General features: G+C 41.6%; 1 long non-coding RNA gene across 3 annotated transcripts; it reads right to left on the bottom strand.

The window, feature by feature from the left end:
* Positions 1-3,057: 3,057 nt before the first annotated feature.
* LOC124900598 (uncharacterized) lies at positions 3,058-22,581 on the bottom strand. 3 transcript variants are annotated; one of them, XR_008485587.1, is made up of 4 exons: positions 22,474-22,571; positions 18,936-19,093; positions 14,807-14,884; positions 3,058-5,326 (listed from the first exon to the last, which is right to left on the bottom strand). It is a non-coding gene; the product is annotated as an uncharacterized LOC124900598 (long non-coding RNA). The 3 variants fall into 3 exon arrangements; XR_008485588.1 differs by lacking the exon at positions 3,058-5,326 and having other exon boundaries at positions 14,807-16,136; positions 18,936-18,994; positions 22,474-22,581; XR_008485586.1 differs by lacking the exon at positions 3,058-5,326 and having other exon boundaries at positions 14,807-16,136.
* Between the last annotated feature and the right edge of the window lie 4,488 nt (positions 22,582-27,069).

Below are 27,069 nucleotides of genomic sequence, written 5' to 3'. Positions count from 1 at the left end.
CTATGTAAGGGACAATCATTCAGAACACAGCTGGGGTGTTCTGGAATCCTACGTGTGGGACAAACATTCAGACCCTCGTATCATTGTTCCAGAATCCTATGTGAGGAAGAACATTCAGAACACAGAAGGAGTGTTCTGGAGTCCTATGTGCATGACAAACACTCATACTCTCATGGTAGTGTTCTGGAATCCTATGTGAGGGACAAACATTTAGAAGCACGTAGCAGTGTTCTGGAATCGTACATGAGGGACAAACACTCAGAACCCAACAGCAGTGTTTTGGAGTCCTAAGTGAGGGAAAAACATTCAGACCACAGTAGGAGTGTCCTGGAGTCCTATGTGAGGGAGAATAATTCAGACCATTGCAGCAGTGTTCTGGAATCCTTTGTGAGGGACAAATATTCAGATGTCAGTAGCAGGGTTCTGCAATCCTATGTGAGGGAGAAACACTCAGAACCCAGCAGCGGTGTCCTGGAATGCTAATTGAGGGAAAAACACACAGATCACAGAAGGAATATTCTGGAATCCATTGTGAGGGAGAATAATACAGACCCTCGTAGCAGTGTTCTGGAATCCTATGTGAGGGAGAAATGCTCAACCCAGAAGCAGTGTTCTGCAATCCTATGTGAGGGACAATCATTCAGACTACAGCCGGGGTGTTCTGGAGTCCTACGTGTGGGACAAACATGCAGACCCGCGTAGCATTTTTCTGGAATCCTCTTTGAGGAAAATACATTCAGAACACAACAGGAGTGTTGTGGAGTCCTATGTGCGGGACAAACATTCAGTCCCTCGTAGCAGTGTTCTGGAATGCCATGTGAGGGAGAAACACTCATAACCCAGTAGTAGTATTGTGGAATCCTATATGAGGGACAATCATTCATACCACAGTTGAGGCATTCTGGAATCCTATGTGTGGGGCAAACATTCAGACCCGGACCCTTGTAGCACTGTTCTGCAATCCTATGTGAGGAACAAACTTTTAGACCCAGGGAGCAGTGTTCTGGAACCGCAAGTGAGAGACAAACACTTGGAACCCTACAGCAGTGTCCTGGAATCCTAATTGAGGGACAAACATACAGACCACGAAGGAATCTTCTGGAATCCTATGTGAGGGAGAATAATTCAGACCCTCGTAGCAGTGTTCTGCAATCCTATGTGAGGGAAAAACTTTCAGACCACAGTAGCAGTGTTCTGGAATACCATGTGAGGGAGAAACACTCACAACCCAGCAGCAGTGTTCTGGAATCCTATGTGAGGGACAATCATTCAGACCACAGCTGAGTTGTTCTGGAGTCCTAGGTTTGGGACAAAGATTCAGACTCACGTAGCATTGCTGTGGAATCCTATGTGAGGAAAATACTTTCAGAACACACTAGGTGTGTTCCAGAGTCCTATGTGCGAGACAAACATTCAGTCCCTTGTAGCAGTGTTCTAGACTCCTATGTGAGGGACAAACATTTACACCCATGTATCAGTGTTCTGTAACCGTACGTGAAGGACAAACAGTCAGAACCCAACAGCAGTGTTCTGCATTCCTAAGTGAGGGACAAACATTCAGATCATAGAAGGAGTGTTCTGTAATCCTATGTGAGGGAGAAACATTCAGAACCCAGAAGAAGTGTGCTGGAATCCTCTGTGAGGGACAATCATTTATACCATTGTAGCATTGTTCTGGAATCCTATGTGAGGAAAAACCCTTCAGAACACAGCAGTAGTGTTCTGCGGACCTACGTGCGGGACAAACATACAGACCCTCATAGCAGTGTTCTGGAATCTTATGTGAGGGAAAAACATTTAGACACACGTAGCAGTGTTTTGGAATCGTACGTGAGGGTCAAACACACAGAACCCGACAGCAGTGTTCTGGAAGCTTAAGTGAGGGACAAACATTCAGACCACAACAGGAGTGTTCTGGAATCCTATGTGAGGGAGAATAATTAAGATCCTCATAGCAGAGTTCTGGAATCCTATGTGAGGGAGAAAAATTCAGATCCCAGTAGCAATGTTTTGGAATCCTACGTAAAGGAGAAACACTCAGAACCCAGCAGCTGCGTTCTGGAATCCTATGTGAGGGACAATCATTCACACCACATCTGGGATGTTCTGGGTCCCTATGTGTGAGACAAACATTCAGACCCTCATAGCAATGTTATGGAATACTATGTGAGGAAGAACATTCAGAACACAGCAGCAGTGTTCTGGAGTCCTATGTGAGGGACAGTCATTCAGACCCCAGTTGGGGTGTTTTGGATCCCTAGGTGTGGGACAAATATTCAGAACCTCGTAGCATTGTTCTGGAATCCTATGTGAGGAAGAACATTCAGAACACAGTAGGAGTGTTCTGGAGTCCTATGTGCGGGACAAGCATTCAGAACCTCGTAGCAGTGTTCTGGAATTCTATGGGAGGGACCAACATTTAGACCCACGTAGCAATGTTCTGGAATCGTATGGGGGGGAAACACTCAGTACCCAAGAACAGGGATCTGGAATCTTCAGTGAGTGACAAACATTCTGACCAGAGCAGGAGTGTTCTGGAAACATATTTGAAGGACAAACACTCAGAACCCAGCAGCTTTGTTCTGGAATCCTATGTGTGGGACAATCATTCAGAAAACCACTGAGGTGTTCTGGAATCCCACGTGTGGAACAAACATTCAGACCCTTGTAGCATTGTTCTGGAATCCTATGTGAGGAAAATACCTTCAGAACAAAGCAGGAGTGTTCTGGAGTCCTATGTGTGGGACAAACATTCAGAGCCTCGTAGCAGTGTTCTGGAATCTGATGTGAGGGAAAATCATTTAGACCCACGTAGCAGTGTTCTGGAATCGTACATGAGGGACAAACACTCAGACTCCAACAGCAGTGTTCTGGAATCCTAAGAGTGGGACAAACATTCAGACCACAGCAGGAGTGTTCTGGAATCCTATATGAGGGAGAATAAATCAGACGCTGTTAGCAGTGTTCTGTAATCCAATGTGAGGGACAAACTTTCAGACACCAGTAGCAGTATTCTGGAATCCTATTTGTGGTACAAACACTCAGAAAACAGCAGGAATGTTTTGGAATCCTATGTGAGGGACAAACAGTCAGACCACAGCAGGATTGTTATGAAATCCCATGTGAGGCAAAAACACCCAGACCACAGCAGGAATGTACTGGAATCCTATGTGAGGGTCAACCATTCAGAATACAGCAGGAATGTTCTGGAATCCTATGTGAGTGTCAACCATTCAGACCACAGCACTAGTGTAATGGAATCCTACGTGAGGGACAAACTTTCAGAACCTCGTAACAGTGTTCTGGAATCCTATGTGAGGGACAAACACTCAGAACCCCGCAGCAGTGTTCTGGAATCCTAAGTGAGGGGCAAACATTCAGACCACAGCAGGAGTGTTCTGGAATCCTATGTGAGGGAGAATAATTCAGACCCTCGTAGCAGTGGTCTGGAATCCTATGTGAGGGAAAAACACTCAGAACCCAGCAGCAGTGTTCTGGAATCCTATGTGAGGGACAATCATTGAGACCACAACTGGGGTCTTCTTGAATCCTACGGGTTGGAAACGCATTCAGACTCTCGTAGCATTGTTCTGGAATCCTATTTTAGGAAAATACATTCAGAACACAGCGGGAGTGTTCTGGAGTCCTATGTGTGGGACAAATATTCAGACTCTCGTAGCAGTGTTCCGGAATCCTATGAGAGGGACAAATACTCAGAAACCCACAGCAGTGTTCTGTAATCCTATGTGATGTTCAAACATTCAGACCACAGCAGGAGTGTTCTGGAATCCAATGTGAGGGACAAGCATTCAGACCCCATCAGCAGTGTTCTGGAATCCTATCTGAGGGACAAACATTGACACCCAAGTAGCAGTGTTCTGGAATCTTATGTGCGGGACAAACACTCAGAACCCAACAGCAGTGTTCTGGAATCCTAAGTGAGGGACAACCATTCAGACCACAGCAGGAATGTTCTGGAATCCTGAGTGAGGCATAAACATTCAGACCACAGCAGGAGTGTTCTGGAATGCTATGTGAGGGAGAATAATTCAGACCCTCGTAGCAGTGTTCTGGAATCCTATTTGAGGCACAAACATTCAGACCCCAGTAGCAGTGTTTTGGAATCCTATTTGAGAGACAAACACTCAGACCACAGAAGGAATGTTTTGGAATCCTATCTGAGGGGGAAACATTCAGAACACAGCAGGATAGATCTGGAAACCCTTGTGAGTCACAAACACCCAGAAGACAACAGGAATATTCTGGAATCCTATGTGAGGGTCAAGCATTCAGACCACATCAGTAGTGTTCTGGAATCCTATGTGAGGGACAAACATTTAGACCCACGTAGCAGTGTTCTGGAATCCTATGTATGAGACAAACATTCAGAAACTCTTAGCAGTGTTGTGGAATCCTATGTGAGGGAGAAACACTCAGAACCCAGTAGCAGTGTTCTGGAATCCTATGTGAGGGACAAATACTCAGAACCCAGAAGCTGTGTTCTGGAATCCTATCTGAGGGACAAACATTCAGACCAGAGCAGGAGTGTTCTGGAGTCCTATGTGTGGGACAAACATTCAGACCCTCGTAGCAGTGTTGTGGAATCCTACGTGGGAGACAAACACTCAGAACCCAGTAGTAGTGTTCTGGAATCCTATCTGAGGGACAAAAATTCAGACCAGAGCAGGAGTGTTCTGGAATCCTATGTGAGGTACAATCATTCAGACCCTTGTACCAGTGTTCTGGAATCCTATGTGAGGGAGAAACACTCAGAACCCAGCAGCAGTGTTCTGGAATCCTATGTGAGGGACAATCATTCAGACTGCAGCTGGGGTGTTCTGGAATCCTACTTGTGGGAGAAGCATTCAGACCCTCGTAGCATTGTTCTGGAATCCTATGTTAGGAAAACACATTCAGAACACAGCAGGAGTGTTCTGGAGTCCTATGTATGGGACAAAGATTCAGACCCTCGTAGAAGTGTTCTGGAATCTTATGTGAGGTAGAAACAATCGTACCCTCTTAGCAGTGTTCTGCAATCTCATGTGAAGGACAAACATTCAGACCCTCTTAGCAGTGTTCTGGAATCCTATGTGAGGGACAAACACTCAGAACCCAGCAGCAGTGTTCCGGAATATTATCTGAGGGACAAACATTCAGACTAGAGGAGGAGTGTTCTGGAATCCTGTGTGAGGTACAATCATTCAGACCGCAGCAGCAGTGTTCTGGAATCATATGTGGGGGGCAATCATTCAGACGACAGCTGGGGTGTTCTAGAATCCTATGTGTGGGACAGGCATTCAGACCCTCGTAGCATTGTTCTGGAATCCTATGTTAAGAAAATACAAATGTAAGGCTGAAAGTTGTAAAACTCCTACACAAAAATATAAGGGAAAAAATATCCTACATTATGCCATTGAATTTGGCAAAGGGTTCTTGACTGTCAGCAGCCCCACATCCCTGGAGCATCCATCCGCTCACCGCTGCCTGGTGCTAGGTCCCTCCACACCTAGCCCTGCTTTGTGAGGGGCTCTGAGGGGCACCAGCCAGGACCCCACTCTGAGCACACGGCACAGGCCGGGCATTCTCGGGCTATTCACTGGCAGGCTATCCCCACGTGTGCCTCAAGTACCAGGAGGAAGGGCAGCCTGATTGGAGTCTGTGGAAGTAGGAAGAAGCTCGTTTCCTGAGCCAGCAGGTACACAGAGGCGGATGCGGGACACAGGGACCCAGGGGTGGATGCCATAAAAATATATGGCATGTATTTTGAAACATGGCTGCAATTTCAATAATTAGAATATCTAAAAACTCCAAAGATTGTTATGCTAAAACTGCACCAAAATTTATCATTCCAGTGACTACAGGGAATTTTTAATAGTTGTTATTTTTGTAATAAAATTGAACTGTAATGAAATAACTGACTTTCAAACTTCAGCAAGAGGACAAATATTCAGCCAGAGATATCAGTTCCCAGTTTCTGCTCCGGGTCTTCTCTGGTCTCCCACAGCCCCTCTTGCATCACCCAGGGCTAAGGGGCCACCTGATCTGGCCTGCATCCCCTCATCCCTCCCCTTCCCCACCCAGCTCCTGCAGCAACCTCCTGGGGCAGGTTTGGCGAACCGTCCAGAGCGGGAGGCTCCCTCGACCAGGGCAGCACTGCTTCGCCCCTCTCCGCACCTGCCCAGTCTCTGGCAAAGGACGTGCCTGGGCCTGGCCCACTGCCCGCCCCCCCAACGCCTGCCTTGTCCCTGCAATGGCAATGCTGCCAACAAGAGTTGCCAGAAGCTGAGGCGCAACCACCCCAGAGTGCAGCGTTCCCACTCATCTGGGAGCAGGGACACGCCCCTCCTGGTAGGTTGTACAGTCAAGATTATTTCCTCATTTATTTTACTTAAAACTGGTAGAATGTTACTATTATATGGTGTACTCATGATTCTGCCAGTAAATTTGGGCATACGTTTATTAGTTTTTGTCAGTTTAACTAGTTCTTTTGTTTCTGTTATTAAGGTGAAATTTAACTTCTATCTGAAATCAGTAAGATACAGAGAGATTTTAATGAGAAGTGAATATTTTTTTCTAAGGGGGAACTGATATCTCTGTCTGAATATGTGTCCTCTTGCTAAAGTTTGAAAGTCAGTTATTTTATTAAAATTTAATTTATTATAAAAATAACTATTAAAAATTCCCTGTCATCAATGGAAGGATAAATTTTAGTGCAGCGTTGGTATAACAATCTTCGGAATTTTTAAATATTCTAATTATTCAAATTGTGGTCATGCTTTAAAAATATATTCCATAGAAGTTATGCTATTTTAAAATACCATTCTCTATTGTGGGAAGAAGCAGTAAATTCACCTTAACCATAGCAGCCTGTAGAGCTGGCTAAAACAACCTTTAGAGGTTAAATTGTAATGAGGTAGGTCATCAATGCAAAAAACAGTTTTTTTAGTTGTTCCGCTACCATACAAAACTTATTAGAAGAATGTTCATAAATTAAAATCTGTGTTTGTTAAGACTTCTTTCTGCTGGGGGTTTAGAATGTAATAAAAGCTAAAAATAAAATTCTAAGCCACGTATCACTGAACATACTTCCTCTTGAGCAAGAAGACCCCAGAAAAAAACTTAAAAACTGAATTTCTGGCTATGACAGGAAGAGAGGTGTTATGTGCAGGAGATGCTCCAGGGGAGGAGAAAACACACACACACAAAACTTTAAAGGTCAACAAACTCTATCCCACATAAATGGCAATGCAGATATAATAAGCAAATGATGATAAAATAAGCAAATTGATACAACAAGCAAATTACAATGGGAAAGGGGAGAAGGAAAAAAATGTGTATACATATGTATATGTATATATATATATAGATAGACTATGGAAGATTGATCACCAGACCGAGAAGCAACAGCCTGGGCTCCAGAGTCAGCCATTCGTCCATGCACAAAGGAACACAAAAAGGTCAATTTGTTTTTGCCATTGTCTGTTGTTTTTCAATAACTAACGTATAGGAATAGATTGAAATAGAGATTTCTCTGAAACAGTGCTGGATGAATGCCTCAAGGGGCTCACAAAACCTATTCTGGGACTTGGTGACCATTGTGTCCATGTTCAATTGAGTTGAAATATATTATTTAACTTTTTCTCTGTATTCGGTCCCACTTGATACTCAATTGTAGGAAAACACCCTTGCAGATATACGGGGAATACATCATTGGTAGAGGTTAAAGAAGCAGGGTAAGCAGAGGAGAATTAAAGCACAATTAAATAAAATCACACCCACCAAGGCCAACGCCAATGTCAGTTGGACAGCCAATTCATGATGGGGTCCTGACAGATTCTAACTGTTTTAGTTGTCCTTGCATGTCTTGGGCAAGGAAAGTAATATTGTGAGAACTGTCAGGTATACACACACAACATTCAGTATGCAGCAAGGTTCAAACCCCTCCTTTGGCTGCTGCAAGCATACCTAATGGCATTCGATTTTGCTCCCAGTGTAATCAAGCAGAAAATGGTTGATTTCTGCATTTCCAACTGAGGTACCTGATTCATCTCATCGGGATTGGTTGGACAGTGGGTTCATCACATGGAGGGTTAGCCGAAGCAGGACAGGGCATCAACTCATCAAGGAAGTGCAAGGGTTTGAGGGATTTTCCTTTCCTAGCTGAGGGAAGGCATGACAGACTGTACCTGGAAAAACAGGACACTCTCACCCAAATGCTGCACTTTTCCCACAGTCTTAGCACCTGGCAGACCAGGAGATTCTCTCCTGTGCTGGGTTCATTGAGTCCCACACCCAGAGAGCCTTGTTCACTGCTAGGGAAGCAGTCTGAGATTAACCTTCAAGGCAGCAGCTGGGCAGGGGGAGGTGAATCTGCAATTTTTGAGGTTTGAGTAGGTAAATAAAGTGGTCAGGAAGCTTGAACTGGGTAGAGCCACTCACAGCTCAGCAAGGCCTACTGCCTTAATAAACTCAAACTCTGTGGGCAGGGCATAGCTGAGTAAAAGGTAGCAGAAACTTCTGCGGACTTAAACATCCCATCTGACAGCTCTGAAGAGAGCCGTGGTACTCCCGGCATGGTGTTTGAGCTCTGAGAATGGACATACTGCCTCCTCAAGTGGGTCCCTGAACCCCATGTAGCCTAACTGGGAGACAACTCCTAGTAAGGGCCAACAGACACCTCATACAGGTGGGAGCCCCTCTTCAATGAAGCTTCCAGGGAAGGATCAGGAAGCAATATTTGCTGTTCTTCAGCCTCTTCTGGTGATACCCAGGCAAACAAGGCCTGGAGTGGACCTCCAGCAAAATCCAACAGACCTGCAGCTGAGGGATCTGACTGTTAGTAGGAAAACTAACAAACAGAAAGGAATAGCATCAACATAAAAAAAAAGGACATCCACACCAAAACCCCATCTCTAGGTTAACAACATCAAAGACCAAAGGTAGAGAAAACCACAAAGATGGGAAGAATCCAGAGCAGAAAAGATGAAAATCCTAAAACCCAGAACACTTCTTTTCCTTCAAAGGATTGCAGCTCCTCACCAGCAACAGAACAAAGCTGAAGGGAGAATGACTTTGACCTGTTGACAGAAGGAGGCTTCAGAAGGTTGCTAATAAGAAACTTCTCTGAGCTAAAAGAGCGTGTTTGAACACACTGCAAGGAAGCTAAAAACCATGAAAAATGGTCAGACAATGGCTAACTAGTATAAACAGTGTAGAGAATACATTAATGACATTATGGAGCTGATATGGCACAAGAACTTTGTGGCACATGCACAACCTTCAAAAGCTGATTCAATCCAGTGGAAGAAAGCATATCAGTGATTGAAGATCAAATTAATAAAATACAGTGAGAAGGTAAGTTTAGAGTAAAAAGATTGGAAAGAAACAAACAAAGCCTCCATGAAAAATGGAACAATGTGAAAAGACCAAATCTACATTTGCTTGGTGTACCTAAATGTGATGGAGAGATTGGAACCAAGTTGGAAAACACTCCTTAGGTTATTATTCAGAAGAACTTTTCCAACATAGCAAGGCAGGCCAACATTCAAATTCAGGAAATACAGAGAATACCACAAAGATACTTCTAGATAAGAGCAACCCCAAGACACTAATTGTCAGATTCACCAGGGTTGAAATGAAGGAAAAAATGTTAAGGGCAGCCAGAGAGAAAGGTTGGGTTATCCACAAAGGGAAGCCCATCAGACTAACAGCAGATCTGTCAGCAGAAACCCTGCAAGCCAGAAGAAAGTGGGGACCAATATTCAACATTCTTAAAGAAAAGAATTTTCAGCCCAAAATTTCATATCCAGCTAAACTAAGCTTCATAAGTGAAGGAGAAATAAAATCCTTTACAGACAAGCAAATGCAGAGAGATTTTGTCACCACCTGGCCTGCCTTACAAGAGCTCCTGAAGGAAGCACTAAGAATGGAAAGGAACTACCAGTACAAGCCCCTGCAAAAAACATGTCAAATTGTAAAGAACATTGATACTATGAAGAAGCTGCATCAAAAAATGGGCAAAAGATCAAGCTAACATTATAATGACAGGATCAAATTCACACATAACAATATTGATCTTAAATGTAAATGGACTAAATGCCCCAATTAAAAGACATAGACTGGCAAATTGGATAAAGAGTCAAGACCCATCAATGTGCTGTATTCAGAAGACACATCTCACGTGCAGAGACACACATAGGCTCAAAATAAAGGGATGAGGAAGATCTACCAAGCAAATGGAAAGCAAAAAAAAAAAAATTTTTAAAGCAGGGGTTGCAATCCTAGTCTCTGATAAAACAGACTTTAAACAAACAAAGATCAAAGGACACTAAGAAGGCCATTATACAATGGCAAAAGGATTAATTCAGCAAGAAGAGCTAACTACTGTAAATATATATGCACCCAACACAGGAGGACCCGGATTCATAAATTAAGTCCTTAGATACCTACAAACAGACTTAGACTTCCACAAAATAATCATGGGAGATTTTAACACCCTACTGTCAATATTAGACAAATCAACAAGACAGAAGGTTAACAAGGATATCCAGGACTTCAGCTCAGCTCTGCACCAAGCAGACCTAACAGAAATCTACAGAACTCTCCACCCCATATCAGCAGAATAAACATTCTTCTCAGTACCACATCACACTTATTCTAAAATGGATCACATAATTGGAAGTAAGCACTCCTCAGCAAATGTAAAAGAACAGATATCACAACAAACTGTCTCTCAGATCACAGAGCAATCAAATTAGGACTCAGGATTAAGAAACTCACTCAAAACAGCATAAGTTCGTGGAAACTGAACAAACTGCTCATGAATGACTACTGGGTAAATAATGAAATAAAGGTAACAATAAAGATGTTCTTGGAAACCAGTGAGAACAAAGACAAAAAACACCAGAATCTCAGGGACACATTTAAAGCAGTGTGTAGAGGGAAATTTATAGCACTAACTGCCCACAAGAGAAAGCAGAAAAGATCCAAAATTGACACCCTAACATCACAATTAAAAGAACTAGAAAAGCAAGAGCAAACACATTCAAAAGCTAGCAGAAGGCAAGAAATAACTAAAATCAGAGCAGAACTGAAGGAAATAGAGACACCCTTCAAAAAATTAATGGATCCAGGAGCTGTTTTTTTGAAAGGATCAACAAAATTGATAGACCACTAGCAAGACTAATACAGAAGAAAAGAGAGAAGAATCAAATAGATGCAATAAAAAATGATAAAGGGGATATCACCACCGATCCCACAGAAATACAAACTACCATCAGATAATACTACCAACACCTCTACACAAATAAACTAGAAAATCTAGAAGAAATGGATAAATTCCTATATACATACACTCTACCAAGACTAAACCAGGAATAACTTGAATCTCTGAATAGACCAATAACAGGTTCTGAAATTGTGGCAATAATCAATAGCTTACCAACCAAAAGGAGTCCAGGACCAGATGGATTCACAGACGAATTCTGCCAGAGGTACAAGGAGGAACTGGTACCGTTCCTTCTGAAACTATTCCAATCAATAGAAAAAGAGGAAATCCTCCCTAACTCATTTTATGAGGCCAGCATCATCCTGATACCAAAGCCAGGCAGAGACACAACCAAAAAAGAGAATTTTAGACCAATATCCTTGATGAACATTGATGCAAAAACCCTCAATAAAATACTGGCAAACTGAATACAGCAGCACATCAAAAAGCTTGTCCACCATGATCAAGTGGGCTTCATCCCTGGGATGCAAGGCTGGTTCAATATACACAAATCAATAAATGTAGTCCAGCATATAAACAGAACCAAAGACAAAAACCACATGATTATCTCAATAGATACAGAAAAGGCCTTTGACAAAATTCAACAACCCTTCATGCTAAAAACTCTCAATAAATTAGGTATTGATGGGACGTATTTCAAAATAATAAGAGCTATCTATGACAAACCCACAGCCAATATCATACTGAATGGTCAAAAACTGGAAGCATTCCCTTTGAAAACTGACACAAGACAGGGATGCCCTCTCTCACCACTCCTATTCAACATAGTGTTGGAAGTTCTGGCCAGGGCAATTAGGCAGGAGAAGGAAATAAAGGGTATTCAATTAGGAAAAGAGGAAGTCAAATTGTCCCTGTTTGCAGATGACATGATTGTGTATCTAGAAAACCCCATTGTCTCAGCCCAAAATCTCCTTCAGCTGATAAGCAACTTCAGCAAAGTCTCAGGATACAAAATCAATGTACAAAAATCACAAGCATTTTTATACACCAATAATAGACAAACAGAGAGCCAAATCATAAGTGAACTCCCATTCACAATTGCTTCAAAGAGAATAAAATACCCAGGAATCCAACCTACAAGGGACGTGAAGGACCTCTTCAAGGTGAACTACAAACCACTGCTCAAGGAAATAAAAGAGGATACAAACAAATGGAAGAACATTCCATGCTCATGGGTAGGAAGAATCAATATCGTAAAAATGGTCATAATGCCCAAGGTAATTTATAGATTCAATGCCATCCCCATCAAGCTACCAATGACTTTCCTCACAGAATTGGAAAAACTACTTTAAAGTTCATATGGAACCAAAAAAGAGCCCGTATCGCCACGTCAATCTTAAGTCAAAAGAACAAAGCTGGAGGCATCACACTACCTGACTTCAAACAATACTACAAGGCTACAGTAACCAGTAACCAAAACAGCACGGTACTGGTACCAAAACAGAGATATAGACCAATGGAACAAAACAGAGCCCTCAGAAATAATGCCACATATCTACAACTATCTGATCTTTGACAAACCTGAGAAAAACAAGCAATGGGGAAAGGATTCCCTATTTAATAAATGGTGCTGGGAAAACAGGCTAGCCATTTGTAGAAAGCTAAAGCTGGATCCCTTCCTTACACCTTATACAAAAATTAATTCAAGAAGGTTTAAAGACTTAAACATTAGACCTAAAACCATAAAAACCCTAGAAGAAAACCTAGGCAATACCATTCAGGACATAGGCATGTGCAAGGACTTCATGTCTAAAACACCAAAAGCAATGGCAACCAAAGCCAAATTGACAAATGGGATCTAATTAAAGAGCTTCTGCACAGAAAAGAAACTACCATCAGAGTGAACAGGCAACCTACAGAATGGGAGAAAAGTTTTGCAACTTACTCATCTGACAAAGGGCTAATATCCAGAATCTACAATGAACTCAAACAAATTTACAAGAAAAAAACAAACAATCCCATCAAAAAGTGGGTGAAGGACATGAACAGACACTTCTCAAAAGAAGACATTTATACAGCCAGAAAACACATGAAAAAATTCTCACCATCACTGCCCATCAGAGAAATGCAAATCAAAACCACAATGAGATACCATCTCACACCAGTTAGAATGGTGATCATTAAAAAGTCAGGAGGCAACAGGTGTTGGAGAGGATGTGGAGAAATAGGAACACTTTTACACTGTTTGTGGGACTGTAAACTAGTTCAACCATTGTGGAAGTCAGTGTGGTGATTCCTCAGGGATCTAGAACTAGAACTACCATTTGACCCAGCCATCCCATTATTGGGTATATACCCAAATGACTATAAATCATGCTGCTATAAAGACACATGAACACGTATGTTTATTGCGGCTCTATTCATAATAGCAAAGACTTGGAACCAACCCAAATGTCCAACAATGATAGACTGGATTAAGCAAATGTGGCACATATACACCATGGAATACTATGCAGCCATGAAAAATGATGAGTTCATGTCCTTTGTAGGGACATGGATGAAACTGGAATCCATCATTCTCAGCAAACTATCACAAGGACAAAAAACCAAACACTGCATGTTCTCACTCATAGTTGGGAGTTGAAAAATGATTACACATGGACACAGGAAGAGGAACATCACACTCTGGGGACAGTTATAGGGTGCAGGGAGAGGGGAGAGATAGCATTAGGAGATATACCTAATGCTAAATGACGAGTTAATGTGTGCAGCACACCAGCATGGCACATGTATACATATGTAACTAACCTGCACATTGTTCACATGTACCCTATAACTTAAAGTATAATAAAAAATTAATTAATAAATATATATTCCTCAATTAAAAAAAAGAACTCTGAGTGTACTGATAGCCAAGCTGAGACAGTAAAAAGCATGATATAGTAAAGTCATGATCAATTTGGACACATACTGATATTGGGCTAAGATGGAGATTAAAATATGTATATCAGTGTTAAAAAAAAAAAGAAAGACTGTTATGCAACACTCCAGAAACTCTTAAAACTCACATTTGATAAAGAGACTGTTACTCAAAACACTTCAATAACTCTTAAAACTCACATCTGATAAAGAGACTTTACACAAAACACTCCAATAACCCTTAAAACTGACATCCGATAAAGAGACTGTTTTGCAAAACATTCCAAAAACTCTTAAAACTCACATCTGATAAAGAGACTGTTAGGCAAAACATTCCGAATACTCTTAAAACTCGCATCTGATAAAGTGGCTGTTATACAAAGCACTCCAAAAACTGTTAAAACTCACATCTGATAAAGAGACTGTTTCACAAAACATTCCAAAAACTAAACTCACATCTGATAAAGAGACTGTTACGCAAAACATTCCAAAAACTCTTAAAACTGTACAGTAAGAAAACCACCTAATAAAATAGACCAAAGACCTTAACAGATACCTCACCAATTATGAGAACCATATAGGAAATAAACTCATAAAAGAATGCATTATATTGTGTAACGTTAGGGTAACATATTAAAACAATGAGATACCGCTACATACCTAGTAGAATGGCCAAAATCTGGAGCACTGACAACAACTGATATTGAGAATGTGCAGCAACAGGAACTCTCATTCAGACTGTGGAAATGCAAAGCGGTACAGTCACTCAGTTGGAGGACAATTTGTTCTTAGAAAAATAAACATATTCTCACCATATGATCCAGCAACTGCATCCCTTGGTAGTTACCCAAAGTAAGTGAAAATAAATGCTATCATAAAAACCTGTGAACAGGGATTTATAGCAGCTTTATTCAAAATAACTAAAATTTGGAAGCAACCAAGATGCCCTTCAGTAAGTGAATGGATAAACTATGGTACACACAATAGAACATAATTCAGCACTAAAAAGAAATGGGCTATCTTGTCCTCAAAAGATGAGGAAACTTAAAAGCATATTACTAAGTAAAAGAAGGCAGTCTGAAAAGGCTACTTACTATATAACTGCAACTATGTAACATGCGAAATGATGGAGATGGTTTGCAGGGTTAAGGGGATGATATGTAATAAACAGGAAGAGCAGGGATGACTTTTAGAACAAAGTGTTCTGTGAGGTACTATAAGGCTGGATACATGTCATTATACATTTACTCAAACCCATAGCATGTAAAACCACAAGAGTAAACCCTAATGTAAACTATGGCCTTTGGACAACTATGATGTCTCAATGTAGGTTCCTCTATTTTAACAAAGGTACTACCATGGTTGGGGGAGGTGTTGAAAAGGGCGAAGGATACATATATATGTGCATTAGGGTATATAGGAAATCTATGTACTTCTTAATTCTGCTGTGAAGTTAAAACTGCCTTAACTAATGAAGTATATTTATTCTAAAAAGGAATCTAACCATCTAAAAATGTTTTTAATAACAAAAATTAAATCAATATTAAAAACCACTTCGCCATTTGTAATAAGAACTCTCACTAATAATGAATGCATAAAGAAAATGTGGTCTATACATGCAATGAATTATTACTCAGCCTTAAAAAGGAAGAAAATCTTGCCATTTGCAGAAACATGCACATACCAGAAAGATATTGTGCTAAGAAATAAGCCAAACAGGAACAAAGTATTACATAATCCCATCTGCAATAGTCTGGATGTATGTATTCCCCTCTAATTCCTATGTTGAAATCTTATCACCAAGGTGATAGTATTAGAAGGTGAGGCCTCAGGGAAGTGATGAGGTGAGGGCTCTTCCCTCTCGAATGGACTGGGAGTATATTCATTCTCTGCCACTCTTTTGTCTTCCACCATGTAAGGATGCAGGAAGAAGTCTCTCATCAGGTACCAGATGACAGTGCCTTGATCCTGGACTTCCCAGCTTCCAGAACTGTTAAGAATAAATTTCTGTCCTTTATTAATTACCAAGTCTGAAGGATGCTGTTGTTCCAGCTCAAATGAAGCCATGCTTCCTGTACAGCCTGAGGAACTCCAAGTATATAAAAATGTAAAACAGTTAAACTTACACAAACATAGAGCTGAATCTTGGTTACCAAGGGCTGAGGGGGAAGGGTAACTGGGGGGGTATTGGTCGCAGGGTATAAGTTTTAGTTATGCAATGAGTAAGTTCTAAATATCGAATCTACAGATCAAAGCCTGTAGTTAATACGGAATTGCATACTTAAAAATTTGTTAAGAGGATGGTATTGTTTCGATTTGTTTACTTGCCCAAATCTCATGTCAAATTGTAAGCCTCAAGGCTGGCTGTAGGAGGGGCCTGGTGGGAGGTGACTAGATCAGGGGGCAGACTTGCCCCTTGCTGTTCTCCTGTTAGTAAATTCTCACGAGATCTGGTTGTTAAAAGTGTATAGAACCTCCCTCTTCACCACCCACTTTCTCCTGCTCCAGACACATAGGACGTGCCTGCTTCCCCTTCATCTTACACCATAATTGTAAGTTTCATGAGGCCTCCCCAGCCATGCTTCCTCTACAGTCTGTGGAACTGTGAGCAAATTAAACCTCTTTTCTTTATAAATTACCCAGTCTGAGGTAGTTTTTTATAGCAATGGGAGAATGGACTTATACAGAGAATATATCTTAAGTCAGATGGTTGTATCCCAAAAGGGGCAGGGAGGGGGGAAGAAATTTGTGGAGGCAAAGGTTGTTTATCACACTGTTTGTGGTGTCAGTTCGATGGGTGAATACTTATCTCTACAGGTAAGTATATTTCGCATGTGGAAGGAATGTAAACAATTTGTAGCCAGAGGGAAAACTGTGGTTTATTAAAGACTGATAAAGATTCTTACTATTCCTCTTATTGAGATGTAGAAGCTAATTACTGTCTAATCTAATACTGTATGTAAAGGAAAAGAGAAGGATATAATTTTATTTTGGATTTAAGCTTGAGGTGCCTTTCGGATAGCTACAAAGAATCATTCAATGGAGAGCTGAACCTGTGGTCTAGAGCAGTGATCCCCAAACTTTTTGGCACCAGGTTTTGTGAAAGACAATTTTTCCATATACCAGGGTGTGAGGGGGGATGGTTTTGGGATGAAATTGTTCATCAGACATTAGATTCTCATAAGGAGCAGGTAACCTAGATCCCTCACATGCATATTTCACAATAGGGTTCATGCTCCTGTGAGAATTTAATGCTGTCATTCATCTGACAGGAGGCAGAGTGCAGGCAGTAATTCTTGCTTGCCTGCTACTCATCTCCTGCTGTGCAGCGCAGTTCCTCACAGGACACACATTGGAGCAGTCCATGGCCTGGGGGTTGGGATCCCTGGTCTAAAGGCCGGAGAAGTCCAAGCTGGAGAGAAACACAACTGCTACAACACAGACAGCAGAACTGGTAATAAACAAACAACCAACAACAAAAAAAGAACTGCACATTGGGATGGATGGGGAATTGGATGAAACAACTGGATAAGCTATGTAAAGGAGAAGTAGAAGAATTCAGGAAAAAAAGACAAGCAGCATCAGTGAGGTCATGATAGAAACTAACACAGAAGAATTTCCAGGAGAAGATCATGAACAATAATTTGAAATGCAGGAATCCCCCCTTATCCATGAGGGATACATTCCAGGTCCCCTAGTGGGTCCCTGAAACTGTGTATAGTACCAAACCCTATATACACTATGTTTTTTCCTATATATACACACCCTTGACAGTTTAATTTATAAATTAGGCACAGTATGATATTACCGACAATAAAATGGAACAATTAGGTCAACATACTATACTAAAAGTTATAGGAATGTGGTGTCTCAAAATATCTTCTTCTACTGTATTCAACATATTCAAAATATCAAAATATTCAAGATATTCAAAATATCTTATTGTCTTTTCTGTCTGCAGTTGACTACAGGGAACTGAAACAACAGAAAGCAAAACTGTGGATAAAGGGGATTACTGTACGGCACAAGATTCAAGTAAGGCAGACTAGCGTATAGCCATTGGAGTTGCATATAATTTGGGTTAATGGGTAGCATTAGAATAAACCAATTAAGACTACATTGAATGAAAGTGCAAGTGAGCAGTGGAAATATTTGTCAGAGAATACAATTGTGAACAATCTGCTACAAATTCTCCATGTACAGATGAATTGACAGAAATGTATGGGGGGTTAGTTAAGGACCTGTGGTCAACTCAATCCTCCAGATGTTCTAGGATTTAGCCATGAATCAAGTAGGGCCTTCCAAAATCTGTCTGGGACCACACTGTTTCAGCAACCAGAAAAACCTCATTACAGGAGTTATGCTTTAGCACTAAGTGACTATTTATACTGCAAAATGCTAAAAGTGTTTACTTCCAGGTTGGCAGTAAAAAAACCTTTTCACTACATCATCTCTGTGACCAATGCAGTCAGTGTTCCAGACTTTGGTGACAGCAAGTCTTCCTGTCCCATGAGAATGGAACATACACTCTTTCCAGGTTCCATTCCAATCATGTAACAAATGTGACTGCCTCTTTGTTGCAGCATCGGAAAGACCAGAGACACATTTGTACTCAAGTTCTATAGCTTATAACCTGCATATGTCTACATGCCAGCATTATTTTATTAATGTGTATTTCCTTTAACCTGAATTTTACTTATTTCTATCTTTTCATTTTAATCCATGGACTCCATAAAGGCAAAAAATACAATGTAAAACAAAGTGAGGAATATATAAACAAATGACTCACCAGAGATTTATTCATTGTTTGCTGATCGTGAAAATGCACAGAGCACTCTGGAAGCATAGCTGTGATAACAGTCGAATGGAGTGGGTTAAGGAGAGAACTGATGTGGCTTGGTCCTAGATTCTCCTGCCCAAAATGTTCTACACAATAGCTGGAAAAGACTAAAACAACAAAAAAACCTCCCTGTGACAGAATAGTCATTCATGCCTCAATAAGGGACAACAAATATCCCACTGAAGATGTACCCACAAGTATATTAACTAGTAGAGATACATACAATTTATTTTGGGATTAATGAAAGCATGTATTACCTACTGATTTAGGGACAATTAATTTATCCAAAAAACAATGTAATAATTTAAAACAAAGAAATATACATTTAGTCTTCAATGAAATTAATATTATAGAAATATAATTCAGCTGCATTAACTATTTCACTACTAATATGGAGATTCTACATGATTCCATATAGGTGTTTCCACTAGAACACATCTTGCTTTTATACCTATGCATCATTGAAAGGATGCATCTTTTATATACCTAAGCATCATTGAAAGGATGTATCTTGCAACCCAACATTTTTTGCCTACAATTATATAGGGGGAAAAATGTACATATTGTATATTTCTTGGGATATACTGTTTTAGTAATGTTTCCTAGTGACAAGTCTCCCTGTATCTAAGACCTCATAGAGTGTGCTCTGATAACAAATGGGGCTCTGTCATTTGACTTGCTTTGGCCAATGGGACATAGAAAATATGATGAAAATGTAGGTTGGAAAAGTACTTGCCCACTGGTGCTTGCCTTCTTGAACAAGTGTCAGCATGAACCACCAGACATGCGAGTGAAGGCACCAGATGACCAAAGCCTCATTTGTGATCCAGACAACATTAGCAAAGGAAATGCCCAGGTGAACACACACCAAAATGTGAATCAACAGAACTTCTTTTTAAGCCATTGAGTTTCGTTGGTTCTTTACACAGAAAACAGTAACTGATACACCTAAGCCACCAGAACTTAATGTTTTTAAGAAAATCATGTGAAGGAGATAATGTGAAGTTACTTGTCAAATACAATCACTAGAACGTCACAACCTCATGTAGAAGTTTTGTAAATCACAATAAATGCCAACTTGATGGAAATCAGTGAGACTGCTAGTGCTAAGATACCATGTGAATCATAAAAAGCAACTCTTTGCATATTAGTAAACTGTGTTTTAAGGTTCTTTACATCATAAAAATGTCTGTTGACTTTAAAAAAATGCAAAAAAAGGATCTCTTACAAGTGAGCATTGTACTGTATTTTACTTAAGTTTTAAGATACTGGTTGGAATAGAAGTGAGACACTGTCTAATCTTCCCTTTTTAAATATGTAAAATACTCTATTGTTTTCCTACAGAATTTATAATTTCCAAGAACAGATTACTGACACTGAGCGGTAAACACTTGTGTCATTTGTCCTTGAGGTCACATAATTCACAGAAAGAGTTGGGTATAAAAAGGAACAGAGATGGTTAAGGAAATGTTTCTGCTTGGTTGGTTGGTTTGAGACAGAGTCTCATTCTGTCACCCAGGCTGGAGTGCAGTGGCACAACCATAGCTCACTGTAACTTCGCCCTCCTGGGCTCAAGTGATCTTCCCACCTCAGCCCCCCAAGTAGTTAGATCCACAGGTGCATGCCACCACGACCAGCTAAATTTTTTTTTTTTTTTTGTAAACACATAGGGTCTCCCTATGTGGCCAAGACTAGTCTCAAACTCCTGGGTGCAAGCGATCCTCCTGTCTTGGCCTCCCAAAATGCTATGATTATGGCTGTGAGACACTGCACCCGGCAAGGGAAAGTACTTTATTATTATTTTTTCCAGTGGGAGGGTTTGGTCAGGCAGTGAGCGGCTGAGAAAGTATTTTAAAGCAATGTTTGTTCTTAGTTGACTTCAGTGTCAACAAAAATCTAAAAAAAAAAAAAAGGAAAAAAAAGTTTTGACTTAACTGGGGCAAAATGAGTAACACTAGCCAAAAAGTCAGGATGCATAACATCTGTATATCATGTGACCCTGGCAAGTCCCAGCTCCTCAAAGCCAAATTTTTTTCATCTTTCTCATAAGGTAGAAATAGTTTGGCAAACGCTTACTGAACTACCAGGAAGAGCTACCAGGATAGAGGGAGCTTTGGCATATCACTAGATGCTAAATTTCGTGACTGGATGCTACATTTGGTGACAAGTTTTTTTTCTTTTCCTTTTTTTTTTTTTTTGAGAGACAGAGTCTCGCTCTGTTGCCCAGGCTAGAGTAGGGTGGCACAATCTCGGCTCACTGCAACCTCCACCTGCCCAGTACAAGTGATTCTCTTGCCTCAGTTTCCCAAGTAGCTGGGACTATACAGGTGTGCACCACTATGCCCAGCTAATTTCTGTATTTTTTAGTAGAGACAAGGTTTCACTATATGTTGGCCAGGCTGGTGTCAAACTCCTAACCTCAGGTGATCCTCCCGTCTTGGCCTACACTACTTTTAAGAAAGTTCAGCCACTAGAAACAATGAGAAAAGATTGAAGGAATGAAAGTGTCTTTACAGAGTACTCCAGACAGATCCTCTCAGGAGTAACAGGTTATTTTTCCACCGAAGACCACACTATTAAGTCCCCTCCAATAAGTCACATCTCTTTGGCCCTTGCCTGCATTCGCAGCCAAACTCCCCTCTTCCTTCTGAATGTTGGTCCAAACCTTCCGCTACCACCCAGTGTTTGAGAGCTACTGGATAAGGTCTTATCAACCAAATCTTGGCCACTCTGGGGAGTGGGAAAATAACTGCTTGGGTCATACAAACTGGAATCTTCACCTGTGACGCTTCCTCTGCTTTGAAGTACCAGTGAGAAGGTTTGTCCAAAGAGGGGTTCTTTCAGGTGGGATTCCTAAAAGGCGCCCTCTTCCAAACTTTGTACTTACCTTATTACACAGAAAACAGGACCATCATCTGGATCCCCAACTTCCCTAGAAACCAGATCTTTTATAAACTCCTATAAACTAAAACATGGATGGGATGAGTAGGAATGGGACACAAGGAGAATCTTCACTTGCTGAAAGACACCGGGAAACCCTACTAATACACTCGCCAGGCAGTAGGACGGTGTGCACGCATTTCGTAGTCCTCTTCTGGGAATGAGGGGCATCTCCCTAGAACTGTCCATATGCTGATCTTACAATGGCGTGCACGGAATGCTGCACAAGGTCCATGCAGTGCCGGAGCGCAGCCTCCCCGCAGACCTCCCAGGCTCGGGCGGTCTGCAGACCCCTTTCCCGCGCCACCGGCTTCGCCCAGCCGCTTTGGCGCCTCTGGAACTGGCTTCAGTGCGGGGATTCCACGCCCGCCCTCCCAGCAGCGCCGCCCTTTCAGCCCCAGCCGGGGTCCGCGGCCCGCACCTGTGCGTCAGGCCCCGCCCCCTCAATATGTGCCCACGCCTCTGCTCCCACCAACTGTGGCACGTCGGTCCCGCCTCCCAGTGGTGCCTCCAAGCCCGCTGTCTCCTGTTTCATCCCACCACCAACCTGCAGGGACAAAGACCCGAACCCCAGAGCTTCCAGAACAGCCTCTTATTGCAGCAGGAGCCGGGATTCTCTGACGGAAGATGGCGGGAGTGGGCGGGGCGGCGTTTGAGCAAAGAGCCCTTCCCACCGTCCTGTGCTGGTGACGTGATTGGAAGCCGAGACTGCATTTCCCACTAGACATTGCAGTATTGAGGCGGGAAATTCTGTTCCAAGCGGGAGACGAGGATGGATAGGGATTGGTGTCTGTCCGCCTGGCAGACGTGTAATCTGGTTATTAAATCCTGGCTTGACAACTAGGCACACTGTGCAAATATTGGGAAAATTCGAATGCCGGCCAACTAGTCAATTATATTAGCAAGTAATCTTACTTTTTTTTTTTTTTTTAGTTCTAAGTGTTGCTGTCACAGAAAAAAACTTTTTTTTTCCTTTTTTAACGGATTCTCCCTCTGTCTCCCAGGCTGGAGTGCAGTGACGGGATCTCAGCTCACTGCAGCCTCCGCCTCCCAAGTTCAAGCAATCCTCCTGCCTCAGCCTCCAGAGGAGCTGGGACTACAGGCATGCGCCACCATGCTCGGCTAATTTTTGTATTTTTAATAGAGATGGGGAATCCCCATGTAGGCTAGACTGGTCTCGAATTCGTGGCCTCAAGTGATCTGCCCACCTTAGCCTTCAAAAATGCTGGACTAGAGGACTAAAGAGAATAGAGAGACCAATATGAAATAGAGGATAGAGAGACCTAGAGAGACCGATATGGAGAACAGGATGATTGTTTATTTTAGGGTACTCACTGGATTCGTGGATTCATATCTAAAAATATGAGCACTGAACAAAGACTGAGCAGGGCTTTTCTAAGCAAACTTACAGAAGCAAAACAAAAGCAGTTAATCCTACAGTGACAGGTCACGTAATCTATAGCATAACTGTTGACTTGGCATAACTTGTGGCCTTGCATGGCTAGTGGCCTTGTAGCTGCATCAAAAGAAAAATAAGAACTGGCTAAATACAGAAATTTGTAAAACATCATCATGCTTAAGAAGCCAGGGAAAGGAGTAACAGTAAAGGAATTTGTCTTTCTTTCTTGTTTTTTTTCTTTTCACTTTGCTCTGGAAGTGGGAGTTGTCTGGAGCCTATTCCTTTGGCCTTGGCTTCTCAAACAGTGTTATAACTGTCTTTGAAGTGAGCTTACTAGGCAGAGGAAAACTTGTTCTTTTCTTTTTAACCTTTGCCTTGCCTGTTACTTTTCTTGGAGTGAATGAATGCTTATTTATTTTTAAATTTCTGCCTCAGTTTCCTCCTTTTGATGTCTTTTATAAAAGAAGTTTAATAGAAGGCATCACTATTACTTAATTCTGCCTGAAGAGACAAGTTTTCTTCTTTAGGCACAGGCTGATATTTATATAGATCCATTAGCTGAGTGGTAGTTTGCTTAGCTGCTTTTGCCTCTATAGTTGATTGAATGCTTCTAACAAGGAGGGGTAAGAGGGAAGGGAGTACTGGGCAAACTCTTAGTATGGCCAGGACTATTCTTATTGAAGTCTTGAATCCACTGAAGGAGGAAAACCAGCCTCCAAAGAGGGAATCTGGAGACTAACTTTTCCAAGTTTGAACTGGAACATGGGGTAATTTTCTCATTCTTGCAGTTATTTCTATAATTGCCTTTCCATTGTCATCGATTTCCAGGCAGAAATTAGTTAGATTGAACCTTCCACATTCTCCTCCTTCCTGGGCTTCCTAGCTAATAGTATAAAGCTAATCTGTTGTGATAAATAACATTCTTCATTTTTGTGGCTTGCTGGGCCAGTAAATCTAATGCTTTTGCTGTTTCATTAGTGATCATTTCAAGTACTGCCTTCAACCTTATGATATGGCTAAGCATGTAAATAGGAGTGCGGTACCCTCATGACCTATCTTGTGCCTAGGTAGCTGGCCTATAGTATTGAATTATTCTTTTAGGGGGGTAATCTGTGTCTTTCTAATTTCCTATTTCTGTATCTCTTTTTATGTCTGCATCTCTTTTGCTTCTTCTTCTAACTTCATCATAGACGGGATACCTTAAAGTTTCTCCCTGTTGCAGTGGGAGTAGGAGGAAAGATGGTCTAATTGTTTCAAACACACAGGACTTTGTCCATTTAGCTGGCAACTGTCGATATGCCTGTGGCTTACAGATGCCAATAAAGACCAAGGGGCGCTTGCCAAGTATTTCGAGCTTCAAGCTGATACTAGGTGTGGTTTAGAGGAGAGAAACAGGAGAACGGATTTGGTTGAGGTGCTTTGGAGTCATCTCTGCCTCGCCACAAAGTTTTCTTTAGTGTTTCATTATAATATTGCTGTCCTAAGAAGGTTAGTTCTCCTACTGCGTCTGTAAAAGCGTTTCTTCAGGGAGCAACACAGTATCTCCTGATAATAGAAGTTTTTAAGAGTCAGACGCTTGGACTTGTGGGCATCGGTTCGGAGGAAGGGTCTATTAGAGTCAAATTATTTTGTGGCATTAACTGTTTTGCTTCCTAAGGCCATTGGTCTACTACGTTAGTCTTTCTAGAAACATAACATGAAACGCCCATGCTGCCGGCAGTGTGTTCAGCCAGCTGAGCAAACAGGTTTTTGGCTAAAGGAGTAGGCTCTGGTAACTTCTGGTCTACATGCTTATAGAATGACTTAAAGATTTGGAACTGTTGCTGGGCTGGATGGGTCTGGGTTCTTTGTTTGATAACATATAGGAGGATTGCTGGGTATGTATGCATATACAAATGAATGGGGTAACATGCAGTCTACATGGGTAAGTCTGGCTTTAGAAGGGTGAAATTTACAGGATTACAGGTTTTTGCTTCACAATCTGGTTTCAACAGCATTTTGGTAAAAGCATAATTGACCTTTGTTGTGTGCTAGGGTGCTACGACATGCAAGGCCAAAAATCTTTTTCTGGGGTCCTAGGGGAAGAAGATAGAGTTACTCTTGGCATGCATACATATTTGTAGTCATTTTCTATAGTATCTTTCTAAAGGTAGGTTACCACAGACAAGGGAGTCTTGGTCTGCTGCCTGACAAGCATCAAAATACAGATAAATAGGCCCTTGGTTAAAGGGAGGGACCCTGGTTTGGTTTAAGAGGGGACCTTCCTTTGACCTCTCATGATAAGTCTCTGGGCAATGTTTCTTCAGTAACTGCTTGAGTGTCTGGTTCATGCGTTCTACTTTTCTTGAACTTTGCAGCCGACAGGCTGTGTATAACTTCTATTTTATTTTTAACATTCTTGTTAAATCTTGCACTCTTTCAGCTACAAATGCTGGCCTATTGTCTGACTTTAAAGTTACAGGCTGTCAAAACCTAGGGATAATGTCTTTTAGTAGTACTTTAGTCATTTCTCGTGCTTTTCTGTCTTGGTGGGGAATGCCTCAACCTATCCTGAAAAAGTGCAAATAAACACTAGCATAAACGGATAGCCTCTGGCACGGGGCATTTTGGTAAAGTCTATAAGCAAGTTTTCACAAGGCACGAAGGCATGGCTCCTTCTCCTGTTCCATTTCTTAGAGGAGAGGTTTTTTTTTTTTCTCTCTCTCTCTGTCTCTTTTTCTTTTGTACCTTCATATAATGGCTTAGCCATCAGTGAGAAATTTATAATCTAGATACAGCAGAATCTTGCTGCTTTAAACTTCTAATGTGACGATGGGCTTTTGGAGGCCTAATAAGAAGAAGCGTGGTCTGTTTTAGTCCTCACATCTTTCAGCTCCTGCTAGCCTGATCAGATCAGTATCTGGTTCCTCCAAGGTGCGGCAGCCTTTGGCCAATGGCCTCTTTGTCTTGCGGCCTTGGCCATTTCTTTCATTGCCTTCTGGACATTCATCTTTATAGTGTCCTTTCTTTTTGCATCTTGCACACTGATCCTTCTCTAGCCTTGGGCAACTTTGAAATACTTATCTAACTTGACTTATTCTATGTCCACACCTGTGTCCACGTCATCTTACATTGCTAATCTCTTTTTCTATAAAGGCTGCTGCCAACAGATCTTAAGCCTCCAGTCTGCTCCTTTCTTTGATTTCTGGTCACGGTTAACAACACTTTGGTGGCTACTTCTACAATCTGGGTGTCATTCATACCTGAAAAACTTTCTAACTTCTTCTTCTTTTTTTTTTTTTTTTTTTTCAGACGGAGTTTCACTCTTTCTCCCAGGCTGGAGTGCAGTAGTACGATCTTGGCTCACTGCAACCTCTGCCTCCTGGGTTCAAGCAATTCTCTGCCTCTGCCTCCCAAGTAGCTGGGATTACAGGTGCCTATCACCACTGCCAGCTAATTTTTTGTATTTTTAGTAGAGATGGGATTTCACCATCATGGCCATGCTGATCTTGAACTGCTGACCTCGTGATCCACCCACCTTGGCCTCCCAAAGTGCTGGGATTACAGGTGTGAGCCACCGCACCCGGCCAAAACTTTCTAACTTCTGAAGATTTCATTTGATATCACCTTGGGCCTGTCCTACAAATGACATATTCATTATACACTGATTTTCAGTGGCCTCAGGGTCAAACGGGGTGAAAGCCAGTATGCCTCACAGAATCTTTCATAAAACTGCCTAGGGCTTTCATCACTTCCTTGAAGCAC

The sequence above is a fragment of the Homo sapiens genome, unplaced genomic scaffold (genome assembly GCF_000001405.40).
Source record: "Homo sapiens unplaced genomic scaffold, GRCh38.p14 Primary Assembly HSCHRUN_RANDOM_CTG17".
Classification (NCBI taxonomy): Eukaryota; Metazoa; Chordata; class Mammalia; order Primates; family Hominidae; genus Homo; species Homo sapiens.
This window is presented reverse-complemented; position numbering and strand designations above follow the sequence as displayed.